At 41.7% G+C, this 19,389-nt stretch overlaps 1 pseudogene; it reads right to left on the bottom strand.

Moving 5' to 3' along the window:
• On the bottom strand, positions 4,341-7,489 carry LOC392266 (hydroxysteroid 17-beta dehydrogenase 4 pseudogene; annotated as a pseudogene).

Genomic DNA, 19,389 nt, shown 5'->3' with positions numbered 1-19,389 from the left:
TGGCAAATTTCATGTTATGTGTATTTTACCATAATTAAAAAACAGAAATAAAAGACATACAGATTGGAAAGGAAAAAGTAAAATTCATATATAGCATGATCATCTGTGTAGAAAATGGAATCTACAAAAAAAAAAGGAATCTACAAAAAAAAAGGAAACTTCTAGTACTAATAGTTCAGTTTAGCAAGGTTGTAAGATATAAGTTTAACATAAGAAAATTGTCTTTCTGACTTAAATGTAAAATCCAAAACTATAAATCCCTGGAAGAGCTGGGCACAGTGGCTCACGCCTGTAATCCCAGCACTTTGGGAGGCCAAGGTGGTTGGATCACCTGAGGTCAGGAGTTCAAGACCAGCCTGGCCAACATAGTGAAACCCTGTCTCTACTAAAAATAAAATACAAAAAAATTAGCTAGATGTGGTGGTGCATGCCTGTAGTCTCAGCTACTTGGGAGGCTGAGGGAGGAGAATCGCTTGAACCCAGGAGGCAGAGGTTGCAGTGAGCTGAGATTGCGCCACTGCACTCCAGCCTGGGTGACAGAGCAAGACTCCATCTCAAAAAAAAAAAAAAAAAAGATCCTGCTTCCATGCCAGGCATAGTGGCTCATGCCTGTAATCCCAGCACTTTGGGAGGCCAAGGCAGGCAGGTCACTTAAGATCAGGAGATCAAGAGCAGCCTGGCCAACATGGCAAAACCCTGCCTCTACTAAAAATACAAAAAAAAAAAAAGCTGGGCATGGTGGCACATGCCTATAATCCTAGCTATTTGGGAGGCTGAAGCATGAGAATCACTTGAACCCAGGAGGCGGAGGTTGCAGTGAGCTGAGATCGCGCCACTGCACTCCATCTTGGGTGACGGAGTGAGACTCCATCAAAACAAACAAACAAAAAATGCCAGGCGTGGTGGCTCATGCCTGTAATCCCAGCAGTTTGGGAGGGCAAGGCGGGCAGATCATTTGAGTTCAGAAGTTTGAGACCAGCCTGGCTGACATAGTGAACCCTGGTCTCTACTAAAAAATACAAAAATTAGCCAGGCATGGTGGCGCACACCTGTAATCTCAGCTACTCAGGAGGCTGGGGCAGGAAGAATTGCCTGAACCCAGGAGGTGAAGGTTGCGGTGAGCCAAAATCATGCCACTGCACTCTAGCCTGGGTGACAGAGCAAGACACCATCTGAAAAACAAAAAAATAAAAAATCCTGTTTTCAATTTTTTTTTATTTTATTTTACTTTATTTATTATTTTTTTGAGACAGGGTCTCACTCCATCACCCAGGCTGGAGTACAGTGGTATGACTATGGCTCACTACAGCCTTGACCTCCCCGGGCTGAGGTGATCCTCCCACCTCAGCCTCCAGAGTAGGTGAGACCACAAGTGCATGCTATCACACCTGGCTAATTTTTGTATTTTTTGTAGAGACAGTGTTTTGCCATGTTGCCCAGGCTGGTCTGGAACTCCTGGGCTCAAGCAATCCGCCCTCCTGAACCTCCCAAAGTGCTGGACTAACAGGCGTGATCCACTGTGTCTGGCCCTGCTTTCAATTCTTTTGAGTATATACCTAGAAGTGAAATTGGTGGATCAAATAATAATGCTATTTTTAATATTTTGAAGAACTGCCATACTGTTTTTCATAGCAGCTATATCATTTTACATTCACAACAGTGCACAAGTGTTTGAATATATGACTAACCCAGTCCTAGAATCCTATTTTGAGAAGTTTCTTTGTTTTTTGTTTTGTTTTAACCTAGGTCTGGTGTCAATTACTGTATCAATCAGTGTCTTAGCATGCAATAGTACCTGTGAAGAGCATTTATTTACAAATGTGAGGGTGCATGGTGCTAGTTACTACCCCTAAGCCCAAAGGAACAAGGGCGGGGAATAGTTACTGAAACCTGGAAAGAGAAAGAGTCATGTAGACTCTGCTACCTTGAGGGAAACAGTAACCATCAGATAAGGGATATGGCCACCCCACAGCAACCTCACAGAGGGAATTGGAATAAATGCCCTAACCTCACTCTCCCTCTTTTCCTGTTGTTGCTCCCCAGTAGCTAACCCAACCAGAAGCAATGGTGTATGGGATCCTGTTGATGCAGTCCATACAAGTCAGACAACTTAGTGGAGAGCAGGATGAAGAAGGGCGGAAAGCAGACCTGGAGGGACAAAGACAAAGTATCCAACACTGCTGTATACCTAGAGTCATAAGGCATGTGAATGTCCACCTTTAGGAGGTGATGTCAAAGTGTTTTCAAAATGGCCACAGAACTTCCACTCCACTTGTAGTGTACAAGAGACTTTGTGAATGCATATCTCCTCCTCCAAAACTCGACAATGTCAAACTTTGTAACATTTGTCTACTAAATGGGTGTAAAATGGCATCTTACTGTGGCCTTGATTTCCATTGGTCCAGTCATCAATGATTTTATACATATTTATGGTCCGTAAGTAATTCCTCTCAGTAAAATACTTGTTTATATCTATATCATACCACTATCTCTGCTTATTCTAGGGATCTATAAGCTTCTTGAGAATAAATACTGTGTCTTTGTATTTCTAGTGATAAAAGTACACAATAAATACTTGTTAAATAATTGAATTAATGCTAGAGGCAAATGCTAGAACCAACGTTTCATTCAACAGAAAACTGGTGGAGTTATGATTGCCTGGAAGTAATGATGGAAAGAAAGAACAAGTATTTTAAGTTCCTCCCCTTGAAGTGGATCTTCCTCAGAAGATGGGGAGGTTGTCATGTGAGAATAAGGTGAGGAAGGAAATGAAAGAGGTTTTGAATTCATTTTATATGAAGGAGAATTTCTCACCTTGGAGTAGGAATGCTATAGATTTCAAAGAAAAATGTAGGAGAATGGTTTTCGCTTTTTAAAATTTTTGGTCAGGGAGAACATGATTGGAATAGGGCATAGCAAGTTGCAAAAACACTTCTTCAAACTAGTCTAAGGGGATCAGTGACAGCCATGTGACCGAATCAATGTGTACTTTTTTAGTCTTTTTTAATATTCTGTCACTTAGCATCATTCCATGAAATACAGCATACAGCTTTCTTGAAACAAATTTTTTCTTCTGCCTGCTTTTTTATGCTGACTCTACACTCACGTGGTTTTTCCTCCAGATTCTGTGGCTGTTCTTTTGTTCTTAAACATTTTGCCTTTTTTTTTTTTTTTTTTTTTTTTAATTGAGGTAAGTCTCCTCTGTGACCCAGGCTGGAGTGCAGTGGCACAATCTTGGCTCACTGCAACCTCCGCCTCCCAGATTCAAGCAATTCTCCTGCCTCAGCCTCTCGAATAGCTGGGATTACAGGCGCCTGCCACCACACCCGGCTAATTTTTGTATTTTTAGTAGAGACGGGATTTCACTATGTTGGCAAGGCTGGTCTTGAACTCCTGGCCTCAGGTAATCCGCCCACCTCAGCCTCTCAAAGTGCTGGGATTACAGGTGTGAGCCACCGCGCCCGGCCTTTTTGCCTTTTTGATGGCATCCTCCTCTACCTTTAGCTTCATGTTGTTCTGCAGAGTTGGTGTGGGGTTCTGTTCTCTTACCAGTCGACACTGTTTTCCCAGGTGGTGTTTTCTACTCTCAAGGCTTTAAATACCATCTGTATATCAACTGCTCCCAAATTTCTATCTCTAGGCCATATCACTTTTCTGAACTACAAGCCCATGTATCTTGATCTTCCCCTGAAACCTGCTGCTCTTCCAAAGTTCCTTGTATCAATAATTCCACTACCATCCATCTAAATGCTGAAACCAGAAACAAAGCTTCTCTCTCCCTTTTTTTTTTTTTTTGGAGATGGAGTTTCGCTCTTGTTGCCCAAGCTGGAGTGCAATGGCACAATCTCAGCTCACTGCAACCTCCGCCTCCCAAGTTCAAGCGATTCTCCTGCCTTAGCCTCCGGAGTAGCTGGGATTACGGGCGCCTGCCACCACGCCCGGCTAATTTTTTTGTATTTTTAATAGAAATGGAGTTTCACCATGTTAGCCAGGCTGGTCTCGAACTTCTGACCTCAGGTGATCCACCCACCTTGGCCTCCCAAAGTGCTGGGATTACAGGTGTGAGCCACTGCGCCCGGCCTACACTTGTCCTTTTTAAAGTTCTTTTTCTTACCTCTGGGCTCTTTCATATGCTGTTCTTTTGTCTAGAATGCTCTTTCCTTCTCCTGTACCTATCTAACCTCTATTCCTTATCCTTCATTTATCAGCATAGAAGTCACTGTCTTAGAGAAGTTTTTCTTACCCCTTGAATCTAAACAAGACTTCGTATTTTAACCTCTCATTTAATGTACAATATTCCTATATTACATATTTCATGATTTTTAGCTAGGTATTTTTTTAAAGGTATCAAAGTGGCCTTTATTCATTTAATTTTCCTTTTAACTTTTATAAATGCTATCACAAATTCTAAAAATCTAGACTTGAGTGAAAATTTTTTATTATGAAGATATAGATCTAAGAACAGAAGGATAACTATATGCTAGCTTATATATAGTTCCTTGTAAAAATAATGATACATTTAAAAAATAGTAGAAAATAAAAATCTTGGCTGGGCACAGTGGCTCACGCCTGTAATCCCAGCACTTTGGAAGGCCAAGGCAGGTGGATCACCTGAGGTTGGGAGTTCAAGACCAGCCTGATCAACATGGAGAAACCACATGTCTACTAAAAATACAAAAATTAGCTAGGTGTTGTGGTGCATGCCTGCAATCCCTGCTACTCAGGAGGCTGAGGCAGGAGAATCGCTTGAACCTGGGAGGCAGAGGTTGTGGTGAGCCGAGATCGTGCCATTGCACTCCAGCCTGGGCAACAAGAGCGAAACTGGGTCTCAAAAAAAAAAAAAAAAATCTGAAAACTTATCTGACATCTGAAAATGGTAAGTAACTTCCTCTGCGTCTTAGTTCTGATCACTTCTGCAGAAGAATCAAGCATATTTGGGTGAAGAGAGTATTTAATTATTCTGTTTTTATTAATAATATAGTGTGCCCTTCAGAAATTGGTGTAGTCTTTTTTTTTTTTTTCTTTTTTTGAGACTGAGTGTCGCTCTGTCACCCAGAGTGGAGTGCAATGGTGCAGTCTCGGCTCACTATAACCTCCTCCTCCCGGGTTCAAGCGACTCTCCTGCCTCAGCCTCCTGAGTAGCTGGGATTACAGGTGTCTGCCACCACACCCAGCTAATTTTTGTATTTTTAGTAGAAACGGGTTTCAGTTGGTCAGGCTGGTCTCGAACTCCTGACCTCGTGATCCACCCACCTCGACCTCCCAAAGTGCTGGGATTACAGGCGTGAGCCACCGCGCCCAGCCAGAACCTGGTGTAGTCTTTAAGAATCATCTGAAGTTTCTGGCTCAGCATAATGTTCCCTCTGGCCTTCAGTCTGCCAGTAACAGATGCCTTCTGAGGGTCAAGCTTGCCTAGAACTACCTCCATGAAATCTTCATCTGAAAGTATGCATCAGCAAAACCTTTTCCAGGTTTTGATACACTTTTCCAGAACCACTTTTCAGGTCACTTAGCTGCAATATTTCCACCTTTAGTAATATGCCACTCAAATACAGCATTTACTTTCTTTGCCATCTCACGCCCAACATCCTTAAAAGGCAGTAAGTGACCTTTTTCCTCAAATACAAGGGTATTCTGAAGTTCCTCACCTTCAGAGGGTGTCTTAGCTGAAATATCAGATGTTGGCATAAGATTCACATATGCATTTGAAATGACAGTGTCTCCAGGTCCTTGGACCGTGGTTTGAAAGTGAATTCTGTTTCCTTCCTTCCACATCTCAGTTTGTAGAGTTTGCCCTGGATATACTGGTTTTGCAAAACAAGTCTTAATCACTTTGAATCTTGACAGATTATAAAACATGCCTGGCAAAAAATCTAAATGTACATAATCCATGTACACATAATCCATGTACACATGTCAAAACATGCTAGGCTAGCAAAGTGAGGATCAACGTGTAACAGATTTCAGTTTCTGCTGAGGCAGTACAAAGCAGCCTGATTAAGAGAAATGGTATCTGCAAGTATAGCATCAGGTGGTCTATTAGGTATGGCTACAGCTACCTTGACTTTCAGGTCCATTTTCCACCAAAGCCTCCAGAGCCAATGAGAAAGAGAGAGGACTGATTATAGCACATAAATTCCTTCTTAGAATAAGAATAGACATCCATAAGAATTACTACACCAGATCCTTTATCTAGGACATCAGCAACAACTGTTTCACATTTTCATTTTCCTGCTCTAGGAAGTGGTTTATATAACTGCAAGTATTGTTCCCCATAAAGAACCTTTGCAAAGTTCCTTGAAATCCCAGGAACTTCTGCTAATTCTCCACCCATTATCGATTTCTGACTTATGATAACTCCAAAGGTAGGCAAACAGAAGAAATCAGAGCTTCTTTCATGAACAAATTTAAAATCTTTTGGATCCTTGATTGATGCTCCCACTCCAAGGGCATACATAATAGCTTCCAGTTCTGTATAAGCAGAAGAAAACGGAGGGAGTTTATGGCCAATAGCTCCAGCAAATCCTGATGTTGCTGTAGATGTTGCATGACTGATATGATTTGTTGAAACTCCTCCTTCTGAATCTATTTTACTTAGAACTACAATGATACTGCCAGTTGATTTCTGGATACTCTGAGGCTTGCTGGCATTCTCGAAGTCACATGTCTTCTTCCAGTTAGCCTTCACTGCTTCAGCAGTCATCGGCTGATTTTGTCTTACAACCACTCCAAGGGTCCGGTCCCAGAATAATTTTCCAATCCATCCTGCTCCAACCTCAAACAAGCCCCCATTCTCCTCACAACTCTTGGCAAAGCCGAAGGACCAGCGATGCTACATAATCTGGCTTTAGGGCTTCCACAAAATCTTCAGGCATAATCGAGTCAACCCTGATTCAGCATTAGGAGAAATAGTGTTACAATGAATGTTGCTTTTCCTGCCTTCAACTGCAATAGAATTTGCAAGGACCAGAAGACCCAACTTCGCAGCACTATAATTTGCCTGGCCAAAGCTGCCATATATTCCTGAAGCTGATGAAGTGATAATGATCCTTCCATATTTCTGCATCTTCATGTGATCCCATGCTTTCCAGGGTCACTTGGAATGAGCCCCGCAATTGAACTCTGTGGATGATATCCCAGTCTTCATCACTTATCCTAGCAAAAGAATGGTCCCTCAGAATTCCAGCATTGTTGACCACAACATCTATTCCAAAAGCATCCAGTGCTGTCTTTACAACCTTCTCTCCTGTTTTCACTGAATCATAGCTGGCCACTTTTCCACCTTTGTCTTTTATTTCCTCAACAACCTTATCAGCAACTAAGGATGCTTTACCAACTTCCTCTTAAATAATTCACAACAATTAGTGCTCCTTTTTCTACGAAAGCCAGGGCATAGACTGGGCGCAGTCCTCCCTACACCAGTGACCAGTATCACCAGCTGTTGAAACTCAGTGGTAAGACCATGAGTCCAGCCTGCAGTGACACATACTTTGACTAGGTTTTTTTTTTTTTTTTTTTTTTTGAGACGAAGTCTCGCTCTTGTCCCCCAGGCTGGAGTGCAATGGCGCGATCTCAGCTCACTGCAACCTCTGCCTCCCGGGTTCAAGTGATTCTCCTGCCTCAGCCTCTGGAGTAGCTGGGATTACAGGTGCCTGCCACCATGCCTGGCTAATTTTTGTATTTTTAGTAGAGATGGGATTTCACATGTTGGCCAGGCTGGTCTCGAACTCCTGACCTCAGGTGATCCACCCACCTCAGCCTCCCAAAGTGCTGGGATTACAGGCGTGAGCCACTGTGCCCGGAGACTAGGTATTTTTTAATGCTTATTTATTTAATATTTGTCTCACTATGAGATCATAGGCTCTTTAAGGTCAGGAACTAAGTTTGTTTTGTTTTGTTTTATGATTATAGATCTAGCACCTACCACAATCAATTCCCAGTTGGCACTAAATAGGTATCAGTTGACTTAATTGCTGGATAAATAGATAAGAGGATTAAGAAAGCAGAATAGAAAGATATGAGTTTACTAAGAAATGGAGGCACATATAGCTACGGTGAAGGGAAGCCCACACTTCAGAAGGAGAGAAGGATCTTGCTAATAATGGCTTATTTTTTAAAAGATACAAGATCATCTTGATTATATTTTTAGAAGCTGCTTCTGTTAGATTTATCTCATTCCAAGGCCATGAAAGAACAAATTTTCAGTTTGATTTGCTTACAGTTAATTGTTTACATATTGGGCACCTTCCTGAGATTGAAATCCATTTAGTTATGACTGTATATTCTACGCTTTGCATAGTCAGTCAGCAAAATAACTGCAGAAAGGACTGAAAGGTTGTGGGAGTTTTGTTTTGTTTTTTACTAGCTCTGGGAACAAGTATAAAATACCAAGAAATATTATATTTATATAAAAATATTGATAAAAGAAGAGAGCATCCAGCAGTTAATTAAATTATTAGGTTAAAAACAGATGGGGCCGGGCGCAGTGGCTCACACCTGTAATCCCAGCACATTGGGAGGCTGAGGCAAGCCAATCACCTGAGGTCAGGAGTTCAAGACCAGCCTGGCCAAAATGATGTAACCCTGTCTCTACTAAAAATACAAAAATTAGCTAGGCGTGGTGGTGCATGCCTGTAATTCCAGCTACTCAGGAGTTTGAACCTGGGAGGTGGAAGTTTCAGTGAGCTGACATCGCACCACTGCACTCCAGCCTGGGTTACAAGGTGAGACTCTGTCTCCAAAAAAAATAAAATAAAATAAAATAAAATAAAAACAGATTGGTTTTTGCTGGACACAGTGGCTCATGCCTGTAATCCTAGCTCTTTGGGAGGCTGAGGTGGTAGGATCGCTTGAGGCCATGATTTTGAGACCAGTCTGGGCAATATAGCAAGACCCATCTCTACAAAAATAATAGTAATAATAATTCGCCAGGTGTAGTGGCGCATGCCTGTAGTCCTAGCTACTTGGGAGGCTGAGGTAGGAGGATCACTTGAGCCCAGGAGTTTGAGACTTCAGTGAGTCATGATTGCCCTACCACGCTTCAGCCTAAAATACAGCTCTAAAAAAAAACAAAAATAAAAAACAGATGGGTTTTATTGGTTAAGATTCTTTGGTTGTAAGTAACAGAAATCCTCTAACTTTAGCAAAAAGGCACATTTTTGAAAGGATGTAAATTACCTCATGGATGTTTAGAACAACCAAAGGTCAATGAGAGGGAACTAGTCCTGCTTCAAGCCCTTGGCTGAAGTTCCTAAAATAGTTGCCATTAATGTGACTTGACAAAGACAAAGCCACCCAGGCTCAGTGATTCTCTGTTCTAGACTTCATAGTACCCTCCTGGTTCCAAAGAATTGGACTGGTCCTGATGTCCACCCTAGTTCCTGCCAGAGACCAATGTCACATAATTTAGACATTATTAGGGGAAACCCATATTATAAGAAAGTGTGACCCTGGCAGGCGACCCGGGAGTTGTCTGCCACAAAAGTTTAGCAGATAAAATTTGCTGACTTACTCTCTCATGTCCATTTGAGCCAATTATTTGATACATACGGTGAACACTCACCTTGTGTGCAGTTTACACACAGTATCTCATTCATACTTACAATGGCCATAAAACGCCTAGTAGGTAGGTTCTAGTATTATTTTTCTTTTACAAATAAAGAAACAGATGCTGAGACTGATTAAGTCATTCACTCACTATCACATATAAGTGGCAGAAGCAGGACTTAAATGAGGTGTCTGTGACTCGAAACCCATGCTCGTAACAACCTTCCTTGAACAGACACTGTATGGCTTTGGCACTCAGCATTCCAGTATGCGCCAGTGGCAACTCCTGCAAATGTTGGTAACCCTACACCTGAGGGTTTTCTCATGACTCACGGTGGAGGTGGTCTGGAAGTGGCAAAGAGTTAACACCCCTGTGAGTAGCTTCTGGCTAGACATAGATGGGAGTTGGTGAATAATAACCCGTTCCCTTGGCCCTTTGGTGGGATATCTCTGAGGTGTGTTCTACACTTTATCTCTAGGTTCTCCATTAGAGTTGAGCACGAGGTCCCACAGCAGCAACCGGCTAGAAACTGTACCGTTGCTAGCTTCCTTCCCTTCCCTTTCTTATATCCCCACTCCCCTACTCATTCTTTTTGGCATCACCTCCCAAATGAACCACTTGCCCTCATATCCTTTACTCAGGGTCCGTTTTAGGGGCAGCCCAACCTAAGACACCCACTCTCTTTAAAAAATAAAAGTAGGAAAAATTAAATACTCCAACAATAACTTTTTAAAGGTTTCGCAGCTACCAAACCTCACAAACCAGCATTAATATCCCCAATATTTTATTGTGGAAGCATTACAATTTTATTTTCAAATTTCTTCCCATTTTAAAGACTGTTTTATTTATGGCAATGTTAAATTGTGCTTCTAAGAGGGAAAATCTGGAAGTTTTGTGTTTAGGCTATGTAATTTTAGTGTGCAAAGGTTGGAAATGAAATCACTACATTTGAGCCATCAACCCTGCCAACATCCAAGCTCTGGCTGGGAGTCAGAGAACAGCACTTAACATGCAGCGAGAGGGCTCCTGAAATACTTCTACCTTCACAGCACATGCTGAATCAAAATGATTTAAATGCCCAAAAGATATGGAACTAAAACATTTAATAGATCAAAGGGAGCCAGACATGAGTACTCTGGACATACAGACATTGTGAGCTACAAGTACTGATTTAAAGGACCATTGTGAAACTTCAACAGGCTTGAAGATCGACTTGTGAGGAAAAAGGGAGGCTTGATGCAACAGATAATGTATTCATGAAATAATTTGGAAACTGATTACGTGTGATGAATCCTAATTATAGCTATTTACTCTGGTGAATATTTAGGAAAATCAGGACCTTAAAAAAAGACACAAGCTTTTGCTTTAATTATTTAGGAAGAAAAATAAGTTACCCCCAGTTTTATGTTCTGTAATTTTTTTTTCATTCAGTTTACGTGTTTTATATTTAGGACCACTACATATGTCTCTTTTCTGTTTCTTCCTTAAATTTTTCTTAAGTCTTTTTTCCCATCCCACTAGGGAGAAAATGTAAATTACCATCAACCAAACGAATTCCCTGGTTTCTTCTGAACCTTCACCTCACAGCTGTTGCATGAAATATAATCACTAAAATACTAGCTAAATGAAAAATGTCTACCCAAAAAGACTTTAAAAAATATTCTTAGACCAAATAACCTTGCAGGAGAATAGGCAGAGACAACTACACATTTTCTTTCATCTAAAAATAGCCAGTTTGGAAATACACTGAAATGCTAATAGTGGCTAGGAAGGGAGAAACATAAATGGATTCTCACCTCTATTTTTTAATGTTTCTGTAGTGAATATATTCCTTTGTTCATACAAATGTTTTATAAAAATTTAAAAATTGCTTTTAAGCCAAAATTCTTATTTTGTTATAAAACCCGAAATATCTTAAAGGCGGGCCAAAAAAGATCAGAAAAAAAATCCTTGTGTTTGTAAACTGAAAAATTTAAAAATATAAAATAAATTTAAATATAAAATACAAATAAGTATAAATAATAAAATTTAAATATAAAATATAAAAAAAATCTTATATTTTTATATTGTCCCTCAACTGTCTTTGGGCGAGTATTTTTCAAGAAAGTTGTTAAAAGTCTACAAATCTATCTGTATGATCAGAAAGGTGTTTAACCTTTGGGTATATGTGTAACATAAGCACAGCAATATATTATCTTGTTAGCTGTAAACTGCATACTTGCAGTTTCATATCTGGATGCATAAGCTATGAAACAGGAGTGAAATAAATGTGTCAGTAGACTACAAATTGAGAAATTAACTTAGTGAGAAGTCCAAGCTAATCAGTCTATATTTAAAAAAATTGATTTAATATTCTAAAAGCATATGTAGTAACACCTAGGTCTATATTTTCAATTTTTAACATTCATAACTAAAATGAGATCAAGGTAGCTAAAACATATTACAAATGGCAAGACCCAACACTAATTTAAGTTATGATTAGGGATTTTTTTTTTTTTTTTTTTTGAGACAGGGTCTTGGTCTGTCACCCAGGCTGGAGTGCAATGGCGTGATCACTGCTCACTGCAGCCTTGACCTCCCAGACTCAAGTGTTCCTCTCACCTCAGCCTCTCAAGCAGCTGGGACTACAGGCATGTGCCATGGGGCCTGGCTAGTTTTTTTATTTTTAGTGGAGACGAGGTCTTACTTCAAGACCCAGGCTGGTCTTGAACTCCTGAACTCAAGCGACCTTCTAGCCTCAGCTTCCCCAAGTGTTGGGATTACAGGCATGAGCCACTGAGTCCAGTTGGGGTATTTTAATTATAGTCATGAGGGCAGAGACTGTCTGTTTTGTTCCATAAATATGTGCTAAATTTATGTATATATAAACATATAAGCTATATTAAAGACCTACTGTGTGCAAGGCATTAGGAAAGATACAAATATGAATGCAATATGGTCCCTGCCCCCAAAGAGCTTATAATACAATAAAATATGTCAAGTTGCATCTAAATCTAATGTAAACATCCAAACTGCATCATACCTCACCAAAGAGTTTAGGTTTGCCTTGACTTTTACTTTTTTTTTTTTTTTTTTTGGCAACGGAGTCTCACTCTGTCTCCCAGGCTGGAGTGCAGCAGTCCTGGCTCACTGCAACCTCTGCCTTCTGGGTTCAAGAGAGTCTCCTGCCTCAGCTTCCCAAGTAGCTGGGATTACAGGCGCACATCACCACGCCCGGCTAATTTTTGTATTTTTTGTAGAGACGGGGTTTTGCCATGTTGGCCAGGCTGGTCTTGAACTCCTCACCTCAGGTGATCTGCCCAAGTGCTGGGATTACAGGTGTCTCCCACCGTGCCCAACCTGCCTTGACTTTTTTAATCATCCAAGGCACAGAAGGATGGACTGTAGGCTTTACTGTGTGGTGGAAAAGGAGGGCCTGTGGAGTCAAACATGTGTTTCAATCTTCTTGAATAGGTTCTCCAAAAAAGATGCCTTTTGTTAAGGTAACATGGAAGAAACATTTACTGCTCACCAAAATACCTATTTGCTCTACCACATTTCCCATAACTAGCCACATTTCTTGTATATGGCCAAAAAGAGGAAGCAGCCTGGGTCCCTGAGTCACCACTTAGAAGCGAATCGCCCTAGAGAATCACTGAGGGCCCAAAGAAGCCTCGATGACTGAAAAGTTATGTTAAGACTGGGTATTTGGGGTTTGTTACAGCAGCATAGCCTAGTCCGTTCGGACAAATAGAGATAATGTGTTCACATGATGGTTGTTGACCTTCTGATGGAAAGATCTCCAGCCCTACCAGAGTCCTGCAACCCAATATTTGAACTTCTGCCTCCACAATTTGTGGAACTTGAGCAAACAAATCTTACGCCCCAATTTTCTTATCTACAAAATGGGGGATGTAGTATTAATGCTCATAGGATTGCTCTGAAAATTACATTAGATTATATAGAAAAGTACTGAGCTCAGAACCTGGCAGGTAGAGGTTCTTCATATAAGTTGGTTACCTCCCTTCCCCCTTGAATGAGGCCAGTGGTTCTCAAAACTGACTGCATTTTGGAATCATCTGGGAAGCTTTTTAAAAACAAAACAAAAGAGTGCCTATATCTCACCATAAACTGAATAAATCAGAATCTTCGGGGGGGTAGAGCTGGGGTGCAGATTTTTTTTTTTTCTTTGAATAGACCAATAAAAAATAGATGTTTTCAGAAAACACCAGGTGATTCTATTGTCTAGCTGAAAACCATTGCCTTTGGCAATGTGGAAACAAAATGCTATTTGATTAAACATAAGATAAACTCGCCATAATATAAAAAGCCTTCAAAAAGTAGCCAGTATGACCACCCTTTTCATAGACTCGGAACTTTAAAAAATTACAAACCACAGAGAGTCAGTAAGTAGTTACTGAATATTCTTAGGGACTGAAAGACATTCGGAAATGCAGAACTGTGGATAAGCCCAGGAAAGAACAGGCTGAGATACTACTTGCATTTTGTAGTTTATAATGATTACTGTTTTCCTCCTACTATGGGCTGAATTGTGACTCCCTCAGAATTCATATGTTAAAGCCCTAACTCCCAGCGCCTTAGAACGTGACCAAGGTTGGACACAGGGTCTTTGCAGAGGTCATTTAAAATGACGTCAGGAGGGTAGATCCTAATCCTGTGTACTGGTGTCCTTATAAGGAGAGCAAATTTGAACACCAACATATACAGAGGGAAGATGATGTGGAGACGCAGGGAGAAGATGGCCATCTGCAAGTCAAGGAGACAGGCATGGAAAAGATCCTTCCCTGATAGCCCTCAGAAGAAACCCCAACCCTGGCTAGGCGCAGTGGCTCACCCCTGTATTCCCAGAACTTTGGGAGGCCGAGGCGCGCAGATCACAAGGTCAGGAGATTGAGACCATTCTGGCTAACACGGTGAAACCCCGTCTCTACTAAAAATACAAAAATTAGCCAGGCATAGTGGCGGGCGCCTGTGGTCCCAGCTACTTGGGAGGCTGAGGCAGGAGAATGGTGTGAACCTGGGAGGCGGAGCTTGCAGTAAGCCGAGATTGCGCCACTGCACTCCAGCCTGGGTGACAGAGCCGGACTTTGTCGCAAAAAAAAAAAAAAAAAGAAATGTACAGAGAGGAGATGGATTTTATAAGGTCCTTGAAATTGAGTCCTTTCACTATTTGATGGAAAGGTAAACTCAAATTGTAGAGAAGGCGACATATGTCCAGGAGATGTAAAGCGTTGTCTTTGCTGGCTCACAGCCATCTTCTGAAGGAACCGTCGTTGCTTACAGCCTCTGCTGCCCAAGTAAAACTGCTCTTTCCCCACAAGACTGGCTTCCCCTCCTAACCTGGCAGATTGCACTAAGCTGACCTTTTAAGAAGAAATGTGCTGGACCAATCAGGTTCTCTCTTTAGATTTGGGAATTGGGGCATTAACTCTAATGAACAGAGCTCAACAGTCATGTTGGACTCCTTGGCTGAGGCTACTTAGCCAGGCCATGTTCTCGAGGAGACTTAAAAGGAGTCAAGAGGCCAGGCGCGGTGGCTCATGACTGTAATCCCAGCACTTTGGGAGGCCGAGGTGGATGGATCACATGAGGTCGGGAGTTCGAGACCAGCCTGACCAACATGGAGAAACCCCATCTCTACTAAGAATACAAAATTAGCAGGGCATGGTGGCCCATGCCTGTAATCCCAGCTACTGAGGAGGCTGAGGCAGGAGAATCGCTTGAACCTGGGAGGCGGACGTTGCCGTGAGCCGAGATTGCGCCACTGCATTCCAGCCTGGGCAAAAAGAGTGAAACTCTGTCTCAAAAAAAAAAAAAATTTTAAAAAAGGGAGTCAAGAGAGGAGACGATGGAGTAGACCTGCAGGGTCAAAGAGTAGCTTTCGTTCCTGGATTGAGCTAGCTTAAGAGAGTTTCGGTACCTCACAACCAGAACTATGTTGACTGAACAGTATGAAATCAAGAGTAAGAAAATCAGGGCTAACGTCCTTCCCTGAGGAGCCACATAAATCAGCCTGGTCTCTCTTCCATGCAAATTCATAAGACTTTCAGGCTGGAAAGACCATAGAGAGCATCATCAGGCTGATATTTTCTGGGAAGTTAAGGTAACTTTTCATCAACTATTAACCCTTTGATATAGGACACAACAATTGTAATGTTATCTTCATTTTACAGATGAGTGAAAACATAGACAGGTTAAGAAACCTGCCTTCAGTCACATAGTGTGGTAACTCAATGACAGAAATGGCCACAATTATTTGCCGTTCCTGTAGCCTCATCCTTTGCAATGTGACTTTGCAGCTGCTTTCAAGAGGTGGGATCAAGCGGAAAATGGCAGTGCACGCCTGTAGTCCTAGCTACACGGGAGGTTGAGGCAGTAGGATGCCTTGAGCCCAGGAGTTCAAGGCTGCAGTGAGCTATGATTGTGCCACTGCACTTCAACCTGGGCAACAGCAAGACCCTGTCTCTCTCTCTAAAAAAAAAAAGGAGGTGGAATCAGGGCTGGCTCTGTGATTGGCTTTGGCCAGCAAAATGTGGCAGAAATGACAGTTATGTCAGCTCTGAGCCTAGGCTTCAAGAGATCTTAAAGGCTGCTTCTGGCTTTCTTGGAACACTGTGGCTGCTTGTGAATGAGTCCAGGCTATTCTACTGGAAGATGAGACAAAGTGGCCCAGTTCCTGCTGTGATCAACAGCCAGCCATCCACTGAATGTGTGGCTGAAGCTGTCCTGCATAAGCCAGCCCCTGGATATATGAATGCAGCTGTCCGAGACCAGGCAGCCCCCAGACAGCCCACCTGCTGACCACAGATGCCTGAGCAAGTCCAGCCGAGATCAGCCAAACCTGCTCCAGTTCAGAACTACCCAGATTAGCAGACTCAACCAGCTGACCCACAGACCTCTGAGGTAACTAATTGCTTCATTTTTTAAGCCACTAAATTGTGGTGGGTTTGTACTTCTTGATACCGTTAGCAAGTGGCAGAGAATCTGGGATTTGACAGTGACCATCTGACTTCAATGACAGTGAATGCTCTCAAATCCAGTGCACACTGTAGCTTGGCTAATGCAATGCCTTCTTTCTTAGAAGCAGTGTATGTAACATCTTTATTAGGATTTAGGACTGGTCAGGATGGATTCAAAATCCAGCTTACTTATCCTGGGTAGGTTAATCTCTCCAAACTTTAGCTTCCTCATATGTTAACTGCAAACAATACCCACAATCTCACAGAGATACTAGGAGGGTATAATGGGATAACATATCTAAAGTGCTCAGAGTTTAATGAGCTGTGACCTTTCCTAGAATATGGAAAGTCTGCAATGGGTCCGAAAGTTCTTATTGACTGAAGGCATTTCCTTCCCAGTGTTGATGTCCATGTAACTGACAATTTTAGGAATGGTATTTCTTTTCAGAGTTTTTGTAGCTTGTAACCCTTAGTTATTTCTACAAGAAATTTTTCCTTAATTATAAGCGTTTGTTTAGACGAGTATTTCTCAAAGTCTGCAGCTGCATGTCAAATGCAGATTCATGGCCTCGTCCCAGACCCACTGAATTAGACTCTTCCAGGAGTGGGGTCTGAGAATCTATTTTTAAAGAAAGTTCTCCATAATTTTCATGAACATTAAAGTTTAAGGACTGCTACTTAGACTTCTCTGCAAAGACTGAAACACAGTGAATTATTGCATTTTCTCACTCTAGCATTGCTTTCTAGTGGAGGAGTGTTCCCTAGGGTTATTTGTATGCTACATTTTTATGTTAAAAAATAGATACTGCCACTTTTTCCTTAGAAGTCATGCTGATACAGCCACTAAGGTTTTTTTGGTTGTTTGTTTGTTTGAGACAGAGTCTTGCTCTGTCACCCAGGCTGGAGTGCAGTGGTGCGCTCTTGGCTCACTGCGGCCTCTGCCTCCCAGGTTCAAGCGATTCTCCTGCCTCAGCCTCCTGAGTAGCTGGGACTATAGGCACATGCCACCACGCTCGGCTAATTTTTGTATTTTTAGTACAGACAGGGTTTCACCATGTTGGCCAGGATGGTCTCGATCTCCTGACCTTGTGATCCACCTGCCTCAGCCTCCCAAAGTGCTGGGATTACAGGCGTGAGGCACCCTGCCTGGCCAAGACACTAAGTTTTGGTGGATATAGAGTTACACACCAATGAATGAATCAACCCAGATGACACTATGATTAAAATATAAAGTGTATCAATGTGTTACTCTTTGAATGAATACTGGAAAATCAGTTTTCCTCTCTGTTTTTCTTGTTTTGCATCTATAGTCCTGTAGTACTATATATGGTCCTATGCTAGAAGTAGAGGGAAAGAGTGGAGTGGGAAGGAATTTTACAAGTACCAAGAATATTGACTTGTTTTTACTGTTGTTATTACCAATAACATTATTATTTTCACAGAGCAAGCACTAAGAGAAACAGGAAATGGCTTGACCCCTAAACTGTCTTAGAAAGTTTATTCAGCCTGAACTAGTTTTAGTAGGAACATTTTTGTTCACCTTCTAATGTAGCCATTACAGAAAATAGTGGGAGCACTTCACTAGGGCTAAATTCTTAAGTTCACCTAACTGTAGTCAAAAGTTTAAAGTGTCTTAGTTTGATGTCTTTTTGGCTGGTCTATTTCATGGTATCATGTTTTTAAAAAGACTTTTTCACAAAAAGTGGAAAAAGGAAAAATAATAACAGAAGGGAACTACTACAAAAAGTGCTGTTGGAAGCCTATTCCTCTTCAGATGACACCAGAGCTTAGAACTTTTTATCCAAAGCTCTTCATTTCCTACCAATATTTTTTTTTCACTGTTCCAAAGGTGGAAGAGGCTCTGAATAGCAAAAGTGCTGTGCTTTTTAAAACCTGCTGAACAACTTCTATCTCTAAGAGTACTGAAGTTTTGCCATACCAGTTTGAGTATGACAAACTGCAAAACATATGCATAAAAAAAATCTAGACTTCTAATTGTGCCAATCCATGGTTAAAAAAAAAAACTCCTGGAGCCACGCAGCTGTTAAAATCCATCATATTTACAATTTTTATAAATGAATTTATTTTAATAAAAACAAGTTACTCTGTGAGCCTGATCTCTAAGCAGATTTATGTGGGCTGGCACAATCTGCTATGCTAAACATATATTCATATTGCTTAAGTCTGCAACCAGTTTTTTTTTTTGAGTGGTGATGATAACAGTCTTGCTTTGTAGAAGGATACCAAGTAATTGGCAGCAATTCAGCTAAGGACATTGTTCTCAGCACTGTGTTTTCTTGGACAGAATTGCCCTGTGGGCATGACCCTAAACTGGGAGAATTCTGGATGGCTGGCATTGGGCAGTGAACCAGGGAGACAGCTTATAGGGAGGAGGAGGTGACTCTATAAACTAGTGCTAAAGTAGAAGAGGAGAAGGAAGAATAAAGTGAGGGAGGAAGTGGGGGTAAAATGTGAAGTTACAGTCAACAGCTCCACATCCCTAAAGGGGTCTCTTCTCATCTTTCACTTGACACATCTTTATGCTCCTGTTTTTTGCTTGGCTACTTGATTGTAAGTTCCTGGAAGACAGGAAAGTTGACTAACTCAGCTGTACATCTCCCACAGTGCCTGGCATATACTGGCACACACAAAACCTAGTCATCGGCCGGGTGTGGTGGCTCACACCTGTAATGCCAGAACTTTGGGAGGCCAAGGAGGGCGGATCACGAGGTTAGGAGTTCGCAACCAGCCTGACCAACATGGTGAAACCCCGTTTGTACTAAAAATACAAAAATTAGCCGGGTGTGGTGGCACGCGCCTGTAATCCCACCTACTCAAGAGGCTGAGGCAGAAGAATGACTTGAACCCAGGAGGCAGAGGTTG

The sequence above is a fragment of the Homo sapiens genome, chromosome 8 (assembly GCF_000001405.40).
Source record: "Homo sapiens chromosome 8, GRCh38.p14 Primary Assembly".
Lineage (NCBI taxonomy): Eukaryota > Metazoa > Chordata > Mammalia > Primates > Hominidae > Homo > Homo sapiens.
This window is presented reverse-complemented; position numbering and strand designations above follow the sequence as displayed.